Source organism: Homo sapiens, chromosome 9 (genome assembly GCF_000001405.40).
Source record: "Homo sapiens chromosome 9, GRCh38.p14 Primary Assembly".
Lineage (NCBI taxonomy): Eukaryota > Metazoa > Chordata > Mammalia > Primates > Hominidae > Homo > Homo sapiens.
In genome coordinates, this window is record NC_000009.12 from 87599149 (window position 1) to 87618412 (window position 19264).

The 19264-nt window shown below is 45.4% G+C and overlaps 1 protein-coding gene across 8 annotated transcripts in view, besides 3 other annotated features; it reads left to right on the forward strand.

The window, feature by feature from the left end:
* The window catches only part of DAPK1 (death associated protein kinase 1), a 211407-nt gene that overhangs the window by 101921 nt on the left and 90222 nt on the right, over window positions 1-19264 (forward strand). For all 8 annotated transcript variants that reach the window (NM_001288731.2, XM_047422887.1, XM_047422886.1 and 5 more), the window contains exon 3: window positions 5806-6027. In NM_001288731.2, the coding sequence (NP_001275660.1) occupies window positions 5806-6027 (222 nt within the window). The remainder of the gene's footprint in view (window positions 1-5805; window positions 6028-19264) is intronic.
* Window positions 1204-1797: an enhancer, noted in NCBI's record as "H3K27ac-H3K4me1 hESC enhancer chr9:90215267-90215860 (GRCh37/hg19 assembly coordinates)". NCBI's record gives its function as "activates a minimal SCP1, AML or CMV promoter by ChIP-STARR-seq in primed H9 embryonic stem cells {active_cell/tissue: H9 hESC(primed)}" and the evidence as "EXISTENCE:reporter gene assay evidence [ECO:0000049][PMID:30033119]".
* Window positions 6220-6269: an enhancer, noted in NCBI's record as "active region_28521". NCBI's record gives its function as "activates an Ori minimal core promoter by ATAC-STARR-seq in GM12878 lymphoblastoid cells {active_cell/tissue: GM12878}" and the evidence as "EXISTENCE:reporter gene assay evidence [ECO:0000049][PMID:35858748]".
* Window positions 6320-6379: an enhancer, noted in NCBI's record as "active region_28522". NCBI's record gives its function as "activates an Ori minimal core promoter by ATAC-STARR-seq in GM12878 lymphoblastoid cells {active_cell/tissue: GM12878}" and the evidence as "EXISTENCE:reporter gene assay evidence [ECO:0000049][PMID:35858748]".

A 19264-nucleotide genomic window follows, 5' to 3' on the forward strand; every position in this document is an offset into this window, starting at 1 on the left:
TGGGGCTCAGTACCTGGAGCTTTGGAGGCGAATACACTTGAGTTTGAGTTCATTTCTTAGTTATGCAACTTACTCGCTCAGTGATTTGGGACAATCTTTAAAAATCTCCCTGAGACCTGATTTTCTTATTGGTCAGAAGAGATGACGATGTGTATCTCATGGAGTTGTGATTATTAATAAAGAAATATGTGTAAAGAGCCTTGCATATGATCCTGGTTACAGTTTCTTCAGTGACTGCAGAGGTAGTAGTCAGATTAAATATATCAGTGAGTCAGACAGAGAAATTAGATGTCAGCCTGTTCTTTATGAAGCTTGCTCCTTTTCGCCGTGCGTTTCCTCTTTTTAATAAAATTGGTGATTACATTTGAATCAAGTTTTTTAATATAAAACTCATTAAAGGAAGAATGTGTCTCATTATCTTTGTATGTATCTGACCATGAGTAGTTAATAAATGTTTATTACATTTAGTGGAAAGTTTTTAATATTAAAATTAATGTGATGTCTATATCTAATGCAACAGACTGTTCTGTCAGTTATTAAACGATGGAAAATTTTAGTGCATTTTTTGGGGAAAAAAAGTTGGTGTACAGTTGACTTTCATTATGTGTGAGAGTTATTCTCTAGAAATTCACTGCAAACACTAAACCATTGCTCTTAGGAGAAATCCAGGGTTACCTTCTTGTGAGTCTCTGGTCAAATCATTTTTGTCATTTTTGCACAACCTTGTTTTATGTGTGTTTCTGTTTAAAGACATCGTATATGTATATGTGATTCATTAACATTGAACTCAAGGCAAACAGCACATTACGCATGCCTGAATGAAGCTTATCTAACACACATAGTCTCTCCCTGAGTCATATCACAGCTTTGTTGTGCTTAGAAACACTAGACAGCCCCACAGTACTATACTTGGGGGTCATTGTATACAGTGAAATTACCAATAAAAAACATGACACTAAATGGGCTGCGGAGAGCACACTCGATTATGGTGTGAGAGCCGAAGCAAGAAGGCAGCTGTTTGACTTCAGCTAGGAACGTGTGCAGCAGCCTCTCCAATTTTCCACGATCCTCTCCAATTTTCCACGATCCGTGCATGTCCACAAGTGACTGTGAAAGTGCCAGAAATATTGACTTGGAGGTTACAAATAAATTTTATGCCTCCTGCAGTGACTCATGCCTGTAATTCCCCGACTTTGGGTGGCCGAGGTGGGAGGACTGCTTTGAGCCCAGGAGTTCTAGACCAGCCTAGGCAACAGAGCGAGACTCTATCTCTGCAAAAAAGAAAAAAAAGAAAATTAGCTGGGTGTGGTGATATGCTCCTGTAGTTCCAGCTGCTCTGGAGGCCAAGGTGGGAGGATTGCTCGAGCTCGGGAGGTCAAGGCTGCAGTGAGCTGTGATTGCATCACCACACTACAGCCTGCGCGGCAGAGCGAGACCCTGTCTCAAGAAAAGAAAAAAAAAATTACTAAGTAGGTGAATTCACCAGTACAAAATCCATTAATAATAAGGATCACTTGTACTGCTTTATCAAAATTAAATGTCATAGCATGCAAAGAATTTCTCTTTTCCAGTAAAAAGCTACCTTCCCCCATCCATTGAACAGCCCCAGCTGTATTAATGGTAATTAATTAATAATGCAGCCATCCGTATCGTTGTTAATTACTGACTGGCCTCAGTGCATGGGTGTGAGGAGGGGGCAGAAGGGACAAGCGCCCCCAGCGTGGTTGTGGCAGTGGCCTTGCTGCTTTATGTGCATTCGCTTTGCTCCCTGGTCTGTCTGAGCTCGCCCTTGAAGCTGGATCATGGTATTCCTCTGAGGGCACACGATTTAGGAATCCTCACCAGAAAAGTAAACACACAAGCTGTTTTTTTAAGTTGTTGTTGTCTTTGGGGAGGCAGAGGTTGGGTGAAGAGGAACTGTCCCCCCAAAGGAGTCCCGATCCAGGGTGGAAAGCGGGTCCAGGCCCAGCTGCCCAGGAAGGAAGGGATCGGAGCAGCAATTCACCAACAGTCCAATTCAAATTAGACCTCACAAAGCAAACTACTCTGATTAGGGAAGAATTGCTCCTCCAGGAGTCTGTCCTCACAGTTTGCTGGCTGCCTGAGGAGACTGTGCTATGGAAATGCCCTACAGGCTTACCCATCACACACAAAGGCTCCCAGAGGCCCCCAGGTGGGCCTGGCTGCTGGCACTTTGGCTCAGCTTGTGACTCTGAGCTCCCAAGGCCAGGGCCAGCCTGCCTGAGCAGTTATAAGTGGCAACACACCCTCTGGGTGGGGACAGGCAGCAAAAGGAGGAAGGGAGTGAGGATTTAGCAATAGTTGTATACATCGTTAGCACAGGACAGCCCTGTCATGGGCTTTTTTTTTTTTGTCCTATGAGGGCTCTTTTCTCTCTGGCAGTCATGAGAGGTAGGTACTTGGGGGGTAATACTGCATCACTGTGAGACTGGGGCAACAGTGTGCTGATGAAAATAACTCCAGTTGTCGCAGATTAATAATAGCTAACAGTTACTGAAGACTCCCTATGGTCAGGTGCTGTCCTAAACACTTCATGCGCTCATTTCATCCTACTCCCTCCAAGACAGGCACTTATTATGCCCACTCTACAGATAAGAAAACTGAGGCCTAGAGTGGCTAAGTCCTAAATAAACCTTGGGTTACACAGCTGGCTTCTAGCCGTTACACAATTCTGTTGAACTATAATGCAGAACACTTTGTCTAACTCCTCGGGTTCTCAGGGTTATAGATTCAGGCGTCAGCTGCAGCATATGTGCATTGTGCATGGACTACATGAAGTAGGTCTGCACCCAGGGCCTCAGGAGATGTGAAGATGAGCCTGGCAGCCCTTTGTCCCCCAGGCATTGGCAGTCTGGGAGGGTGGGAAAGGCAAGAATGGGCAGAAAACAGCAGGTGCCCCTGAGGGGTATGGGGTGCTCTTTCGACTCAGGGATATGGCAGATTGGAGGAAAGGGAATAGATTGTTAGGGGTGTCAGGGAAGAATAGGGAACGGTATCTTAAAAGAGGTGACATTGCAGTAGGTCTAGAACAAGTTTCCCAAGCTCATTCTAGACCCTCATTTTACTCTCTGCAGTCAGGGTTAGCCAGTACCCCAGCATCCACACAGAGCCTTCCTACCCACCAGCTCTTATCCCCTCCTCACCAGCCAGCACTTTTCGTATGGGGACCCTGCAGTGTGAGTGAGGGATCCATTGTCAGGTGACAGAGTCCATTCCCCAGGTTTTGCTGTAAACGAAGGCACCACAGTTCCCTCGGGCATGAGCACACATGACATTCAGCACCTGCCTTCATCCTGCCATCAGGGCTAACCTGCCTTTACTTACCATCTTCCCATAAATAAAATGGAGAAACTTCCAATATAGAACATTTGGAGGTGAAAACGCACGTGGAACAGTTTTTGTATCTAGGCTTGCATTGAAATTCTCTGTGACTCTCCTGCCAGAAGGATTTTCTTTTTTCTTTTTTTTTTCTTTTTCCCCCTGAGACGGAGTTTTGCTCTGTCACCCAGGCTGGAGTGCAGTGGCACAATCTCGGCTCACTGCAAGCTCCACCTCCCAGGTTCAAGCAATTCTCCTGCCTCAGCCTCCTGAGTAGCTGAGATTACAGGCACGCGCCACCACACCTGGCTAATTTTTGTATTTTTAGTAGAGACGGGGTTTCACCATGTTGGCCAGGCTGGTCTCGAACTCCTGACCTCATGATCCACCCACCTCGGCCTCCCAAAGCGGTTTTTCTTTCTCTGTCTCTCTGTTTCTCTCTCTCTCTCTCTCTCTCTCTCAGCTTTTTAGTTTTGAATTTTAAAGCACCATGATTGAAACTACTGAGTGTGCCTTGAGTTGGAAGTCTCTGAGACAAGTTGCTTTGGCCATGTGTGAGGTATGAATGGGCCCAGCCTCTGGAACTGTCAGCTTGGTTGTTGGTTGGCTGGGCTGGGCTGGGCCTCCCTATCCTGGGTCCTTTTGAATCTGCCTGGTGGGGACACAATAACATCTTTGTAAGGAGGGGCCTGGACTCTAAAGGAAGCAGCTGACTGTGTTTTGAATTCAAGCTCTTTTCCCTCTTCTCTCCGTATGCCCCATCTCTGCCACCCTCCGCCCCACAATAGAGGGAAGGTTTTTACTCCTCAGAGAAATTGGATTTTGGTTGTAATGAAGTCATTACATAGACCCCGTAATTGTTTAAGGTAGCGAGTTTACAGGCAGTCGGTGCTGGCATTCCAGTGTGATTTATTCTTCAGCTTCTCAGCTATCCTGCTGCAGGGACAAAGCGGGTATTAACAACCTGTCATGCAAAAAATTTGACACGGCTATAAAGATAATCCTTCTCTCTGTGTTCCTTCTTCACTGGCCTCCTACTGCTAAAGTAAATGAGTAACGTTTTAAAGTATCCATTCTTTAACATCAAAATATTATCCTTAATTTGCTTTTCTCTCTGGCTTTTGTCTTCGTGTGAGGATAAAGCCAGCTAAAAATACCTGTGATAATTCTTTACATAGCAGTTATCCAGCAGGTACCAAGAAACATACAGATCCTGTGATGGGTGAATCGACCCTTCCTTGGGCACTAGGGAAGAACGAAGGGCACCAGCATGGGGCCGGGAGGGTCTTTCCGTTGTGTTCCGCTGACTATCAGTGGGGCCTGTGTACCTCTCACCGTCTCACGCACTTACTGCCTACCCCTTATTATTTTGAGTCAAGTTCTATTATTACAGTCTTTAATATATGGGAAAGGGAATCTGGTTATTTGCTGTGATGTTTAAGGTGCTTTCCTCTGCAAGAAGTAGAAAACCCATCAAACTGACTTGAGCCATAAAAGGAATTTATTGGCTTATGTCGCTGAAACATCACAGGCAGATGGTTTCAGGCCGGGGCTGATCCAGTGACTCCATGGTGTCACTGCAGACCTGGTTTCTTTCCTTTTACTGGCTCTGCTTCTGCAGTGGTTGTCTTCAAACTAAGAGTGGCTCTCCTCATGGTCCCAAGACAGTTGGCAGCGGCTTTGAGGGGGGGGTTCTGTCACACTCAAAAGAGAAAAGAGTCTCAGAAAGCCTGTGTCTCTGCATCCTCTGAAGGGTCTTACTTGGCATTGTGGTCAGGAGAATGGAGTGGACTGATTGGCTCAGCCTAGGTCACATGATCCGTATTTACAGTTGGGGGTGGAATCGGCTTCCCCAAAACCACAAAGATCCCTGGGTAGAAATACCTTGAGACGGGAGGAGAGGGGAGATAATGCTGGAGAAGTGACCAACAAATATTTGGTACATATGACTTATCAGTCGCTTAATTATAAACAAAATAATAGACCTTTTTCTGTTCTGTGTATTTAAATTGGTTAATATTGGTGCTAGAAATATGTTGTTGAAGGCAGGACTTCATATATATTTTTTTTTACCGATTCCCTGGTCTCAATCCCTCGTTTTTCAGGCTCAGAGACTAGACGTGCAGGAAAAGAGTTTGCTGGAAGTGAGGTCAGATCACAGAGCTCCTTGCTGCTGTCCCAGGACCTGAAGTGGGAGGGAAGGAGGAGAGGACAGAAATGGAGACATGATCACTCTTTCAATAAAATATACTTTAAAAGTTTATATTCCTTGCAGCATTATTTATAAAGAAACAGGCTTAGTGTAAATGAATGATGATAAGAAACATCCCTACCTAATTTGTTACTTTCCACAATTGGAACTTTCCTATTCACAGTTCTCTTGTCCCCCTCTGCACCATGCCACATCCTCACTCAAATCCTGTTTTTTTTATGAACGATAAAGAATCCTCCATCTTCTCTTTTCAGTGGACAGTTTGCGGTTGTGAAGAAATGCCGTGAGAAAAGCACCGGCCTCCAGTATGCCGCCAAATTCATCAAGAAAAGGAGGACTAAGTCCAGCCGGCGGGGTGTGAGCCGCGAGGACATCGAGCGGGAGGTCAGCATCCTGAAGGAGATCCAGCACCCCAATGTCATCACCCTGCACGAGGTCTATGAGAACAAGACGGACGTCATCCTGATCTTGGAACTGTGAGTGCCGCCTGGGCCAGGCTGGGGAGAGGGTGTGGTGGGCGTCAGCTGGCATCTTCGTTCCAGCTGGACCACGCCACAGCGAGCCCGAGAGAGGGATCAGGAATTGGTTCTGCTGTATGAGGTGTGTGAGAACAATGCCGTGCTGCCTGACCTGAAACCCAGCTGCAGGGATCTAGAACAAACTCTAAAGAGCAACTCCCATCACTGTGGTTCCACCCAGTTTGCAAGAGGGTCTCCCAGTCTTGCGGTTCACCACTTTCTGGGGTTCATCTTTGCCGTGAGCACATCTGTTTTCTGAGTTTCCTGTTAAGCTTCAAGCATATGTCCTTCTCCCCTCTCACTCTATTCCTTTCCTCTCTCTGTTTGTTTTTCTGCCTTTCTTCCTCTGTTCTCTTTATCTCTTCCCCCATCTCTTCCCCCTCCATCTTAAATGCACGAACCCCATTTTTAACTGTTAATTCCATCAACACTAATTATATGAATGGGTAAAATTGAGCCAGAATCACTCAAAAAGGACTTGTTTTTAAAGCAAGTTGCTGATTTTCTCAGGCAAGCCATGCCCGTCGGATGTTATTATGGGAAACTGATTGCGGCAGGTTATTCTGTGGCGTTTCTCATCTCCCTCTCCCACCCCTCCAGTCCCCAGCTTCCTGCCTGCTGTGCTGAGTGGGGCCCCACTCCCTGTGGCTGAGTCCATCAGCACATGCTGGCGAGAGAGGACAGGAAGCCAGCTTGGGGCGCACATCTGCTCTGTCTCCGGGCTTTTGGGATGGAGGCGAGATGTGAGTGCCTTGAGGGAGGAGGGGCGGATGGAACCAAAGAAGATTTGAGGACAAACCAATCCTCAGTGGCTCGTAGTGATGACAGGCTCCATCCATTGAATTCAGCCTCTTGAATTCAGATTTGCCCTTTTGCCCATCCAACAGTCCCCTTCTTTGCGATCCAACGGCCTCCTTCTTTGCAGATACCTTAGGGGTAAGAAGAGATTTTCAAGACCAGAGGAGAAGGTTGGCAGAGCTGCCAGGCCAGCTCCCAGGCGCCACCCTGCAGGTACCTCCACTTTGCAATCCCAGGTGCCTGCGGTCCCCACAGCATCTTGTCTCATCACTGGGATTTGGGCACATTTCTTTATGGGTCTCAGCTACAAATTTCTTAACCATAAAATGGGGTTAATAATATCTCAGATGGTTTATGGGGAGATAAATGAGATAAGAATTTTTAAATACCTAACACTGTGCTGGTTGGTAGATGACATTAATATGCTCCCTCCCTCCCTTCCTTCCTCTCTCTCTTTCCCTTCCTTCCTCCCTCTGTCTCTCCCTCCCTCCCTCTCTCCTTCCTTCCTTCCTTCCTTCCCCCCTCCCTCCCTCTCTCCCTCTCTCCCTCCCTCCGTCTCCCCTTCCTTCCTTCCTTCCTTCCTCCCTCCCTCCCTCCCTCTCTCTCTCCCTCCTTTTCTCCCTCCCTCCATCTCTCCTTCCTTCCTTCCTCCCTCTCTCTCCCTGTCCCTCCCTCTCTCCTTCCTTCCTTCCTTCCTCCCTCTCTCTCTCCCTCCCTCCCTCTCTCCTTCCTTCCTTCTTTCCTTCCTTCCTCCCTCCCTCCCTCCCTCCTTTTTCTCCTTCCCTCCCTTCCTCTCTCCTTCCTTCCTCCCTTTCTCCCCCCTTCCAAATCAGCAGTTCTCAATCTTGGCACAAGTGACATTTTGGGCTGAATCACTCTTCCTTCAGGCTGTCCTAAACATTGTAGAATGTTTAGCAGCATCTCTGGCTTCTACCTACTAGATTCCAGTAGCACTCTTCCCCCATGTTGTGACAACTAAAAATATATCCAGACATTGCCACATGTACCCTGGGGGCAAAATCTCCTGCTTCCCCTGTACCCTCCCACCCTCGTAACTGAGAACTCTGGCTTTAAAGGAAGAACAGAGCTTTAAGGGGCCAGGAGATTAAGGACTTGCTTAGGGTACAACAGAGGAAAAAGGACAAATCATGGTGTAATCCTCACTGTGGCTTTATGTGGCTCCTGGGAGACAGCAGCCTAGAGTGAAGATGGGGGCTGGGGAACCAGACAGAACTGGGATCAAAATCCAGGGCAAATCCTTTCTTGTCTTTAAGCCTACATTTCCTGCCTTAAGACAGTGCATACAAAGTGCCTGGAAAAAGAAACATAACAAATCACAACTATTCTGCCTTTTCAGATAATTCCCAGGTTGTGCCCAGTGACTCAAGAATGCCACTTATCCTCATTTCATACTAAAATATTTGAGCGATGCCTATGAGTCACTGCCCCTCTTGTGCCTCTCTGCGTGTACATATTGTGCATTCAACATCTGTTGTCTGACCCCAATTCATAGATAGTTCCCATTAGGTGCATTTACTCTGTGCCTAAATTGGGTGGCATACAATTATTTTTTTTTACCATTTGATTATGTAAAAATTTTATTTATAATACAGCAAATATAGTGTTGGAGGAGGGTTGTGTCATTCTATGAAAGTTAACACATGTAAATCATGTAACCAGCAGTCTAATTGGGACTCAGAACAGTTCCCATACCCCTACATACTCCAGTACCCCTTGTATTAATACTACCCCTTCATGCCTGCCCTCTACTGCCTAACCCCTGGCAAGCCCTGAGCTGGTCTTCATCACTGTTTGTATTAGTCCATTCTCACACTGCTATAAAGGCAGACCTGAGACTGGGTAATTTGTGAAGAAAAGAGATTCAATTGACTCATGGTTCTGCAGGCTGTACAGGAAGCATGGCTGGGGAGGCCTCAGGAAACTTACAATGATGGCAGAAGGTAAAGGGGAAGCAAGAGCCATCCTCACATGACCGGCAGGAGGAAGAGAGAGAGAAGGGGGAAGTGCTACACACTTTGAGACAACCAGATCTCCTGAGAACTCTATCAGGAGATCAGCAAGGGGGAAGTTCACCCCTATGATTCATTCACCTCCCACCAGGCCCCTCTTCCAACATTGGGAATTATAATCCGACATGAGATTTGGATGGAGGCACGGAGCCAAACCATATCACTACTGTTTTGTTGTTTTGAAAATGTCCAGTGAATAGAATCATACAGTATGCAAGTGTTTGAAAGTAGCTTCTTTCACTCAGCATAATGCATTGGAGATTTGTGCATGAAGAGTGAGTCCGTTTTTATTACTGAGTAGTATTTCATTGTATGGATTTTTTATAAACCATTCACCCATTTGGGTTGTTTCTGGTATTTGATAATTAGGAGTAAAACTGCTACAAACATTCCCATACAGACTTGTGTGTGGGCATAGGTTTTTATTTCTCTTCAGTAAATACCTAGAGATCTTGGGATTGCTGGATCGTGTAGTAAATGTATGTTCAACTTTATGAGAAACTGCCAAGCTGTCTTCTAAAGTGAGCATACCGTTTTACAGTCCCTGCAGCAATGGATGAGAATTCCGATTGCTCCACCAGTGGGGCTCTGTACTGTTTTTCAATTGTAGGCTTTCTAATAGTTGCATCTTGGCATACAGCTTTACATTGTTAACTGCATGATGACCCTAAATGAAAGCTGAGCGATCTCACTAGGAACAGCTTTTAGATGGAGTGAGCGGGAGGGCCCTTAGGAGCTGGCCACATCCTTCACAGGGCTAGACAGGTCCCTGGTTATTTGCTCTTCATAAATTCTAGTGTCCCCTAGGAGCTGACTATTTTTGCCTCTTCACCACCCAGGCATCTGAGGGGTTGTGATGGTTACCTTCATGTGTCAACTTGACTGGACCATGAGGATCCCATATATTTGGTCAGACATTATTCTGTGAGGATGTTTTTGGGGTGAGATTAGCATTTGAATCAGTAGACTGAATAAAGCAGAACACATTCGGGAATGTGGGTGGCTCCGTCAATCTGCGGGAGGCCCGAATAGAACAAAAAGGCTGACCCTAAGTAGGAGACCATTTTTCCTGCCTAACGTGGCTTTGAACTGGGACACCGGCTTTTCCTTGCCTTTGGACTTAAACTGAAGCATCAGCTCTTCCTGCGTCTTGAGCCTGATGGCTTGGGCTGGAACTACACCAGCAGCTCTACTGAGTTGCCAGCTTGCCGACTCACCTGGCAGATTTGGGGACCTGCCAGCTTCCATAATAATGTGAGCAAATTCCTATATATGCATATGATGCGTAGGATGCATATGCACGGTATGATGCGTGTTTCTCTGGAGAACCCTGATAATACAGTGGCACTAAGTACCTAAGAACAGAAAGTGCACCCTTACTATTATCTTGGAAGTCTGTCCCATTTTTTATGTATTTACGTTACCTTGAAGAGGTGTGTTATAATTTTTTTTCTTTTTGCTATACTTGTTTTGGAGGTTATGTTTTATAATTTTTAATAGACTATTGAAAATATTAAATCTGTCCAGGAGAAACAGTCGTCTTTGCCTTTGAGAAAATTATCATCCTAAATTCTAATGTCTTTAACAGAAGCTTTAGTCATCAGTGACAGATTCCATTTCCACTTTTCTTTCTTAAGAATGCTGAAGTACAGGGGTGGTTAGGGAGAGAATCAAAATGAAGAACTTGTCAGAATATAACCCCAGGAGGTAATAGTGGCTGTGTGTCTGAATCTTCTGGTTCAGTAGTTTCCGTGTGGATATAGTTTTTGGATTTACTGCTTTGACATGAAGTCCACGGCAAGTCGAACTTCCTCTGAGGGTTAGTGATGAAGCGGGTCCCCTTGTTGAAAACTTGTGCCTGTCTCTACCTTATATATGTGAGTTCTGTCCTCCAGACTCCATGCCCATCCTTCCCACTGAAATAAACATCCCAAACTACCCCTTCTCTTGGTATTTCATGAACCACTGCCACTGACCCAAAAAGGTATCTTTGCTGTCCTTTGTACAGAAACTATTTGGGATCTGCATTAATGGTGCAGTTGTCAAATCCCAGTCCAGGATCTGCCCTTTACCATTTTTGCAAGCCTGAAAGTCGCTTTAAAGGCATATGTTTTTCCCCTACTTGCTTCACTGGAGAATCATTCACAGAGGATCTGTCATTGCAGCTCAGCATAGCATATACCTGAAGGAGGCAAATGTGATTTCTTAAAATCACGATTTCGGATTTCATGTCCTCCACGTCCCATTGTTCTCTAATGAAGTCGTGCCAATACCAAAATTTCTTCTTACTGTGTTGCAGCTCACCCACACATCATCACACGGGCAAGCCACTACAAAACTTTCACCTTCAGTGCTTGAATCGTTTCATAACTCGCCTTGTTATCTGGTGAAGGGCGAAGCCAAACTCACAGAACTTAAAGTCGATGCTATTTCTAAAGTGTGTGGCATTGTTCCTCAGCAGCCCTGGCTTCTAGCTTTCCATTCCTAAACTTGCTGCTCAGAAACAGCTAGGTATTTTGGTCTGTGGATAGTTATGCATTTTTCTGTCTAGCTGTTGTCTGCCCAGCCATTGTTCAAACCCAAGTGCCCTTAGGGGCTAGGCATACAATGTAAATGAGGATGGTTGGCCTCCATGAAGCCTCAGTGTCAGGGATGCACCAGCCGTGGAGACTGTGGCCCACTGGAGCCCTGAGGCCCCACCCCGAAGGGACAGCCACCAATCAGTTGATTGTTCCTGTGTGTAATTTTGGATTCAGTGTTGTCAGCTCTTCCAGTTTTTTCAGGAAAAGTCTGTAATCTAGATTTTTAATATTGGCAGTCAGTTCATAGTATTCACGAACAGACAAAATAAAACATCTGAAGATTGTGTGTCTTGTACACAATCCAAATTCTAGCCTGTTTTATGTAAGCACATACTTTATCTAGCACATACTTTATCTAGCACATACTTTGTAAGTATGTGAGCACATACTTTATCTAGCACAGACTTCCAAATTCTAGCCTGTTTTATGTAAGCAATAAGTTGATCACTACTATAGGAGAAGTAACATGAGAAAGACTGCCTCAAAGGGTTAGTGATTCTATGGGAAGGGCAAGATGCACACTTAGCATTATAAAATGATTTTTTTAAAAAATATACAGTTTAAAACAGTGGCTCTTAAACTTTAGCATGCATCAGAATTGCCTGAAGGGCTTGTTTGACTATTTGACAGGCTTCCAGAGTTTTGTATTCAGTGGGTTTGGGGTGGGACCTAGGCGTTTGCATTTTTATTTAATTTTATTTTTCCTAGAGACGGGGTGTCCCTATGTTACCCAGGCTGGCCTCAAGCTCCTGCACTCAAGCGCTTCTCCTGCGTCAGCCTCCTGAGTAGGTGGGACTGGGGTGTAAGCCACTGGGCCCAGCTCAGAATTGACTTTTTGGTTTTTTTCTTGAGACAGGGTCTCATTCTGTCACCCAGGCTGGAATGCAGTGGTGCAATCATAGCTCACTGCAGCCTTGAACTCCCGGGCTCGAGTGATTCTCCCACTTCTGCCTCCTGAGTAGCTGGGATTACAGGTGTGTGGCACCACACTCAGCTATTTTTTATTTTTTGTAGCTTCAGTGTCATTTTGTTGCTCAGGCTGGTCTCGACCTCCTGGGCTTATGCAGCCCTCTCACCCTGTCCTCCCAAGTTGCTGGAATTACAGTTGTGAGCCACAACGCCCAGCCAGAATTTCAATTTTTCCTTTTTTCCTAACCTTGAAAGCCAGAATTTCCATTTTTAACAGATTCCCGGGTGATGCGGATGCTGCTGGTCTGGGTTCATCTTTTGAGAGGCTGTGCTCCCCAAAAAGGATATGTTGAAGTGCTATGTCCCTGTCTTAGTTCATTTTGGGTTTTGCAATAACAAGACCACAGACTGGGTAATTTATAGAGAAAATAAGTTTATGTCTTACAGTGCTGGAGGCAGGAAGTACATTTTGCTGCATGTGATGTGAGTCTTCTTACTGTCATAACATGGCAAAAGGCATCGCGTGGCAAGAGAGGGCAAGAGCCCACTCCCAGGAGCCCTTTTTTAAAGGTACTAAACTGACCCATGAAGGTGGAGGAGCCCTTATGGCCTAAATTTCTTCTTAAAGTCCCTACCTCTCAACACTCTTACAATGGCAATTAAATCTCAACTTGAGTTTTGGAGAGGACAAACATTCAAACCGTAGCACCATAGTATCTCAGAACATGACCTTTTTGGATATGAGATTGTTTTAGATGTAATTAGTTAAGATGAGGTCATACTGGAATAGCACAGAGAACCTAATCTGATAGGACTGGTGTCCTTATAAGAAGGCCCTGTGGAGACAGAGGAATGGAGTGAAGCATCTATACGCCAAGGAACCTGCCAGAAACTAGGACAGAGGCATGGAGCAGATTCATCCTCAGATCCCTTAGAAGGACCATCCCTACCAACGTACTGAGTTAGGACTGCCAGCCCCCAAAACTATGTGATAGCAGGTTGTTGTTTTAAACCACCCCATGTGTGGTCCTTTGTTAGGGCAGGCCTAGGAAACTAACACAGAGGCACCAGTTAACAGAAACTAGATTTCCTGGACTGGGAGCCTACTCGCATGTTGATCTAAAATTCTATAAGCAAGTTAGAAACAAAACAAAACATAATGCCTAATTATGGTAATGCCATCAGGTAACTGCAAAATGACGCAATACATACATCTCACTCCCTGCAGATAGCCTGAGCAGAGAAGGATTGGAGCGGGGGTGGGGGTTTGGAGTCTAACATAAGATAAGGAAGAAATGGACATCACCAGGTTCTGGCCTGCTTCAGGATGGTCACCTGAGTAGCTCTGGATCACATGTCTGAAAGGTTACCATGTTAAGAATTATAAAGTAAAAGTGCTAAGATGGCCAAGTAAGTATTGGCATGGTGGATTGTTCCAGAGAAATCAAGCCAGTTTGGTTCTCCAATCCTAAATGTCTCCCCTTATTTGTTCTGCTTCCATTTCGAAGCACATCTTTAAAACAGAGTAACCCCATTTAGCTTTCTCTCTCTTTCTTTGTGACAGGAAATTCCATTTAATTAGTGCAGTCTGCTATGGTTGTAGCCAAGTGCAGGGCGTGGAGTGAATAATGCATTTTTTATATTTAAAAAGGTAAATTTTGCTGATTTTTTTAATCATGGTAAAACAACATACAGTTTACCATCTTAACCATTTTTAAGTGCACAGTACAGCAGTGTTAATTCTATGCATATTGTTGTGCAACAGATTTCTAGAACCTTTTCGTCTTGCAAAACTGAAATGCTGTGCCTATTGAACAACTCCTTTTTAGCTCTGTGTTTTACTTTGGCTAAGTTAATAATTTCTGGAATTCAGTTTGCCCATCACAAACAACTGCTAAGTTGTATTCAAACATTTGTGCAATATTAGGTCACTTTATGTAGGATCACGGTTCAGTTGGCTCACTCTCTCATAACCAAACTGAGATGCAAAATAATCAGAATACAAATACAACTTTGTTTTTCATTGTATGTCAGCGTGGTGCATGTATGTAGACGAACACATGGTGCCTTGGTCAGCAAGATCAGAATCGCAAGAGCCTTTGAAGAAACACATGCAGTGATTAAAGTGATAGTTTCAAAGGATCTTAAAAGTGGCAAAAATTGTACAGAGCTGAATGTGGTGGTCGGGACTTAGGGAAGCTGATAAATGGGGTGTGTGGCACAGAGCCCTTCAGTCTCCCTGTCTCTGCTTCTCTCTGGGCGCTCACGAACCACAATAGCACACACTCAGACTTCCTCAATGCGTTCTTTTGCTGCCACATTTGTTCTCTCTTTTCTGAGCTCGAGCCAGCTCTTTTGACTTTTTGAACTTTTGTCTTTATTCACAAAGGTAATTTCAAGAGCTCTTGTGGGTTCCACTTCTGGCATCCCGCTCCTCAGATACCTACTATTAGGCAAGAGCAGAGAAGTAAAGTGCATTTGGCAGCAGTCTCTGCCTTTCAAAGCAGAGCTAAATCATGTAAAATAGGTTATTTTCCATCCAGGCATTCTCTTGAGAAAGAAAACCCTGTGTGTGTCTTCCCCCATACTCTCACTTCTTGCCAGTTCAGTTGAAAAGTGTTCCCTTAATGTTATTAAATAGGTATTTTCACTCACTGAAGTGGATTATTTGATTTCTGCACGGTCTTAAGAAAAAGTGAGACAATAGGAGTCTTACAAACAAACCCTATGTGGTATCTGTGAGCTCATAGATCTGTAGTTTTTAGGATATAGTCATAACTTTAGTATCTGCCATGATGTTCTCCATGCTGAATACATGAGCTATAAGTAATATTTGGAATCTCTGTTTATCTCCAAGAAAGACCCATGATCGTGGTTAAAGTTTGGGAAACTGAGGCAATGCTGCTTAGTCACAGCTCCAGGCAGGTGACTATTCTTAGACTCCTTCCCAGGGACTAGACTCTTCTGCATCACTCTCTGGGGTGGTGCAGGTCCTGCAAATTGTTCATACTTCCTCTTAGAAACTCTCCCTGATCTCATATCTTCTTCTTCCTGTTTTGGCCAACTGCTTCCCCAACCTGCACATCAAGCGGGTGTAATGGAAGAGAACTTTGTGGAATTGCGGCTTTAGCTGTCCCCTCACAGGTACTGGTTTTGCCTCTTGCCCAGTTCCCTCTCTTCGCTGCTCCAGTATGTTCCCCATCCTTGTCGTGGGCTCCCCGGCACTGTGGCTGCCGCCATCCTGGCCAGGCAGCTGCCTCTCTCCACCCAGAGCCAAGTCCCTTCCAGGCCCTGGGACTGCCTGTTTGGTGGTCAGGCTCCACTCAAACCTTCCATTTGGCTTTCCCCCACTCTGGTCATACGGAGTCCACATCCAGGTCTTGCTGTGCCCAGAATTCTGGGATGGTGACTGGAGTGAGGGTTGGAGACAGGCAGCCGGGGATGGTTCGTCTCCAGCTGGTACTCCAAGACGGAGAGTGCCTAGGCCACAGGTCATGAGAGCATTGCTTTATTAGATCAGTATCTGCAAGCAGGTCAGTGACAGTCTTCCCAAGACGTCCTTGAGCCCCTCAGAGCATCCCCTTCTGCCTCACGTCCTTGCAAAATGTGGTTTAACAAGCAAATACTTCCAAGAACAACCTCATACTGCTTTTTCCTCCTAATTTGTATTTCCAGATAACCAAGTATTACCTCACCTTCTTCTATTTAACAACTCTTTATTTCCCTGTGTGTAACTTGTTTTTAATATTGTCAAAATTACTGCAATGCAAATGAGGAACATCAGGGATCCAGCGGGACCGCTGGGAATATGTGCTTGTTCCGTGTTGAAATGTCAGTTTCATTTCCAGCCTCTGAATGAAGGCAGTGACCGAGCATGGCTACTGTGAGATGCAAACACTATTCAATTAACAGAGTTACATAGAAATGGGCTCAAGGACCTGGTCTTCCCTGGACGACAGAAGTGTCATTGACGTTTCCCCTAATATTTTGATAGGAAAATTCAAGTAGAGTTGATTATTTCAAAAATGTAGGGTAGAACGTTCACTACTTTTAAGGCACTTGCACTTAGGCATGGGTCTTCCCAAACTGCCTGAAGAGAGGATATGGTTAAACAACTGAGTGGCTTTCCTTGGAGGAAAAGGGAAACTGCCCTTCACTTTACCTTTCTGAGTCAGCCACAGTGGGCGCCTCCCTGAAATGATCTCATTTAATCCTTGCGTGCAACTCTAGGAGAGTGGTGTTACCACCCTGCAGGTAAGGAACGCTGTGCCCCCTCTGTCCACATATAGGTCACAGGAGCCGGTAGAGAGATGCTCATTCTCAGACAGTAGCCTCTTGGAGAGAGAATTCTTTTGTTTGAGTTTTCTAAGCCCTAGGATTCTGCTAAGCCACTGTAGGATTTTGCCTGCAAGGCCCCATTGTCTGTGGGCTGGTTGGCCAGCTTTGCTCTTCCTTCTTGAGAGTGACTTTCACATTCCAGTGGTTCTGGAGACACATTTGCTCCTCCTCCATTTGAAAGCAGTGATTTAGAAGCTTTTGAAAGCCAACCTGGCCTCCCAGGGCCCCTCACCTTTCTGCTTCCTTCTCTAGCGTGGCTGCATTGTTCTTGCCCCTCATTTCTTAGCATTTCCATGAAGTTGGGGGTGGGCAGAAGATGTTCTAGTTTTCCAGTGGGATTGCTGAAGCCTAGGAGTGGGATGGCTTCATGGGGGCTCTGGTGTGATAGTGGCATGTGCCTATATGCCCCTTGCATATGTTTCTTTGAGGGCAAGACTACGTCCTACTCTGGCACCCACAGCACTGAAGACTGTGCTTGGCCCAATACATGGATGTCAAGTCCAGATAGAGCAGGAAGAACAGCAGGATCTGAAAAAGAGTCACGTGTGGCTCAAGAACCAGTTAGTTGACCAGGGAGAAGGACAGTTTTGGGGGGAAACGTTGATTTACTTGCATGAGCTTCAGAAAACTCTTGACTGAGTTTCCTAAAGAGCAAAGTACCCCATCCTCTTGAGTATCAGGGTTTGGGTCAGTTTGGGTCCTACCAGGAAACAGACGGCCCACACAAACAGGGAAATTTGAGACTTAACAAACATGTGTGCAAGGTTTGGAGAACATGATAAGTGATGGGGAAGCACCCTCTGAGAATGGAGCTGTCATCACCCTTGGGCCTGAAAAGTAAAACAGGGGAGTGGTGTGAGGACCCTGGAATGGATAACTTCCTGGAGAGCACTGCATAACACAAGCTGAGCCTCAGTAGAGGGCCTCAGCCAAATCCACGGCCACATGGCTGGAAACTGTTCTCCTTTTCTGTGGGGCTACCTGTTGGCCAAACCAAACTAGTGTCCTGTTTTCAAGGGAACCTTTTGATTCAGTCTCTATGAGCAGCCTCCCTAAACCCAGAAGTGGATGTAGGAGATTGGAGCATAGATCTGGAGAGGCAGGGAGAAAGTAACTTCACTCTGGGTTCAAAGAGATTTGTCTTGGTTCTCTAGTCCAGATGACACTTCAGTCCTGATGCTGTAGCTAAGTAGTTACAACCCAAACTTCCCGGTGTCCCCCTTCCCCAATGGCATCCTTCCACTGAAAAATGCACAATTTGTCACTGCATAGTTAGGGTCCATTTGATCTCATGCCCTCTTTTCTCAAAGACTTTCTGCCCATCAGAAATTCTTTAAAAGGGAGTACATTTTTTTGGAAGCATGATCCCCTTTTGTTTTTCCTATTTTCCACTTCCTTATTGGAATGGGGAGGTAGAGACATGGAGGGTGAGGGCCAGAAGTCTTGGCTCTTTGGCAGGTGATAGCTTTCCATTGCCAGGGCCACTTGCCTAGCAGGAAAGCTCAACACCACCTACCTCTTCTACCCCTTGGGTGCCACATCCATCTCAGAAGGGATGCGAGTGGTCTTGGTGCTCCTTGACATCCACGTTTATAATGGATGCAATGGGAAGAGTTTTCCTGGAGACAGGACGCAATCCATACTCACTCCCTTCTCTTCCTTGACTCTCATTCCCCCTTCAGATCACTTTCATCTACCTTCCATTTCCACTACTGCCACTGAAAGGGTGCTGCCAAAACTTTCTTATATTTATTGCAAAGTGTATTAATTTGTATGCAGCCCATGATACTCAATTGTCACCTCCTAATCAATTGGTAATCCCTACAGATGTGTCTCTAGGTCTCTCTGGAGCCCTACAGTTGCTTCTCCAGTGGCCTACTCGACATTTCCTCCAAGACGGGTCTCCCCAGGTACCTCAACTTCACGTGTCTTAAACTGGACTCATAGCATTCCCTCCATAGTCCCTGCTCCCCTCTGCTTCTCTAGCTCAGTCCATGGCATCTGCATCTTCCTGGTTGCTCAGACTGGGAAGCTTGGAGCTCTCCTTGCTTCATTCTTCTCCCCTATTCTCCACTGTGGCACACATCTAGTCTTCCGTGATGTCCTGCAGGCTCTGCCACAGAAAGAGCTTCTGAGTCTTCCCTTATTACCATTCTCTTACTTTGGCCCTGGCCCAGAATCTCAAGAATTCTTCCTGAATTATTACAGCATCCTCTAGTTTCTCTCCTGTTGAGCTCACCCCTGGATTCATTACAAAACAGCTGCTTCTCTTGCTGAAGAATCTTTGGTGAATGGCACATGAATAGATGCTCAATATTATTAGTCAGTAGGATCTATAACTCAGAAGCACTGTGAGATGGCGCTTCACACCCACTAGGATGGCTCTAATCAAAAAGACAGGCAATCTCAAGTGTTGGTGGGGATATGGAGAAATTGTAATGCTCAAACAGTGCTGGTGAGAATGTAAATTGTTCCAGCCACTTTGGGAAACAGTTTGTCTGTTCCTCAAAATGTTAAACGTAGTTTTCATAGGACTCA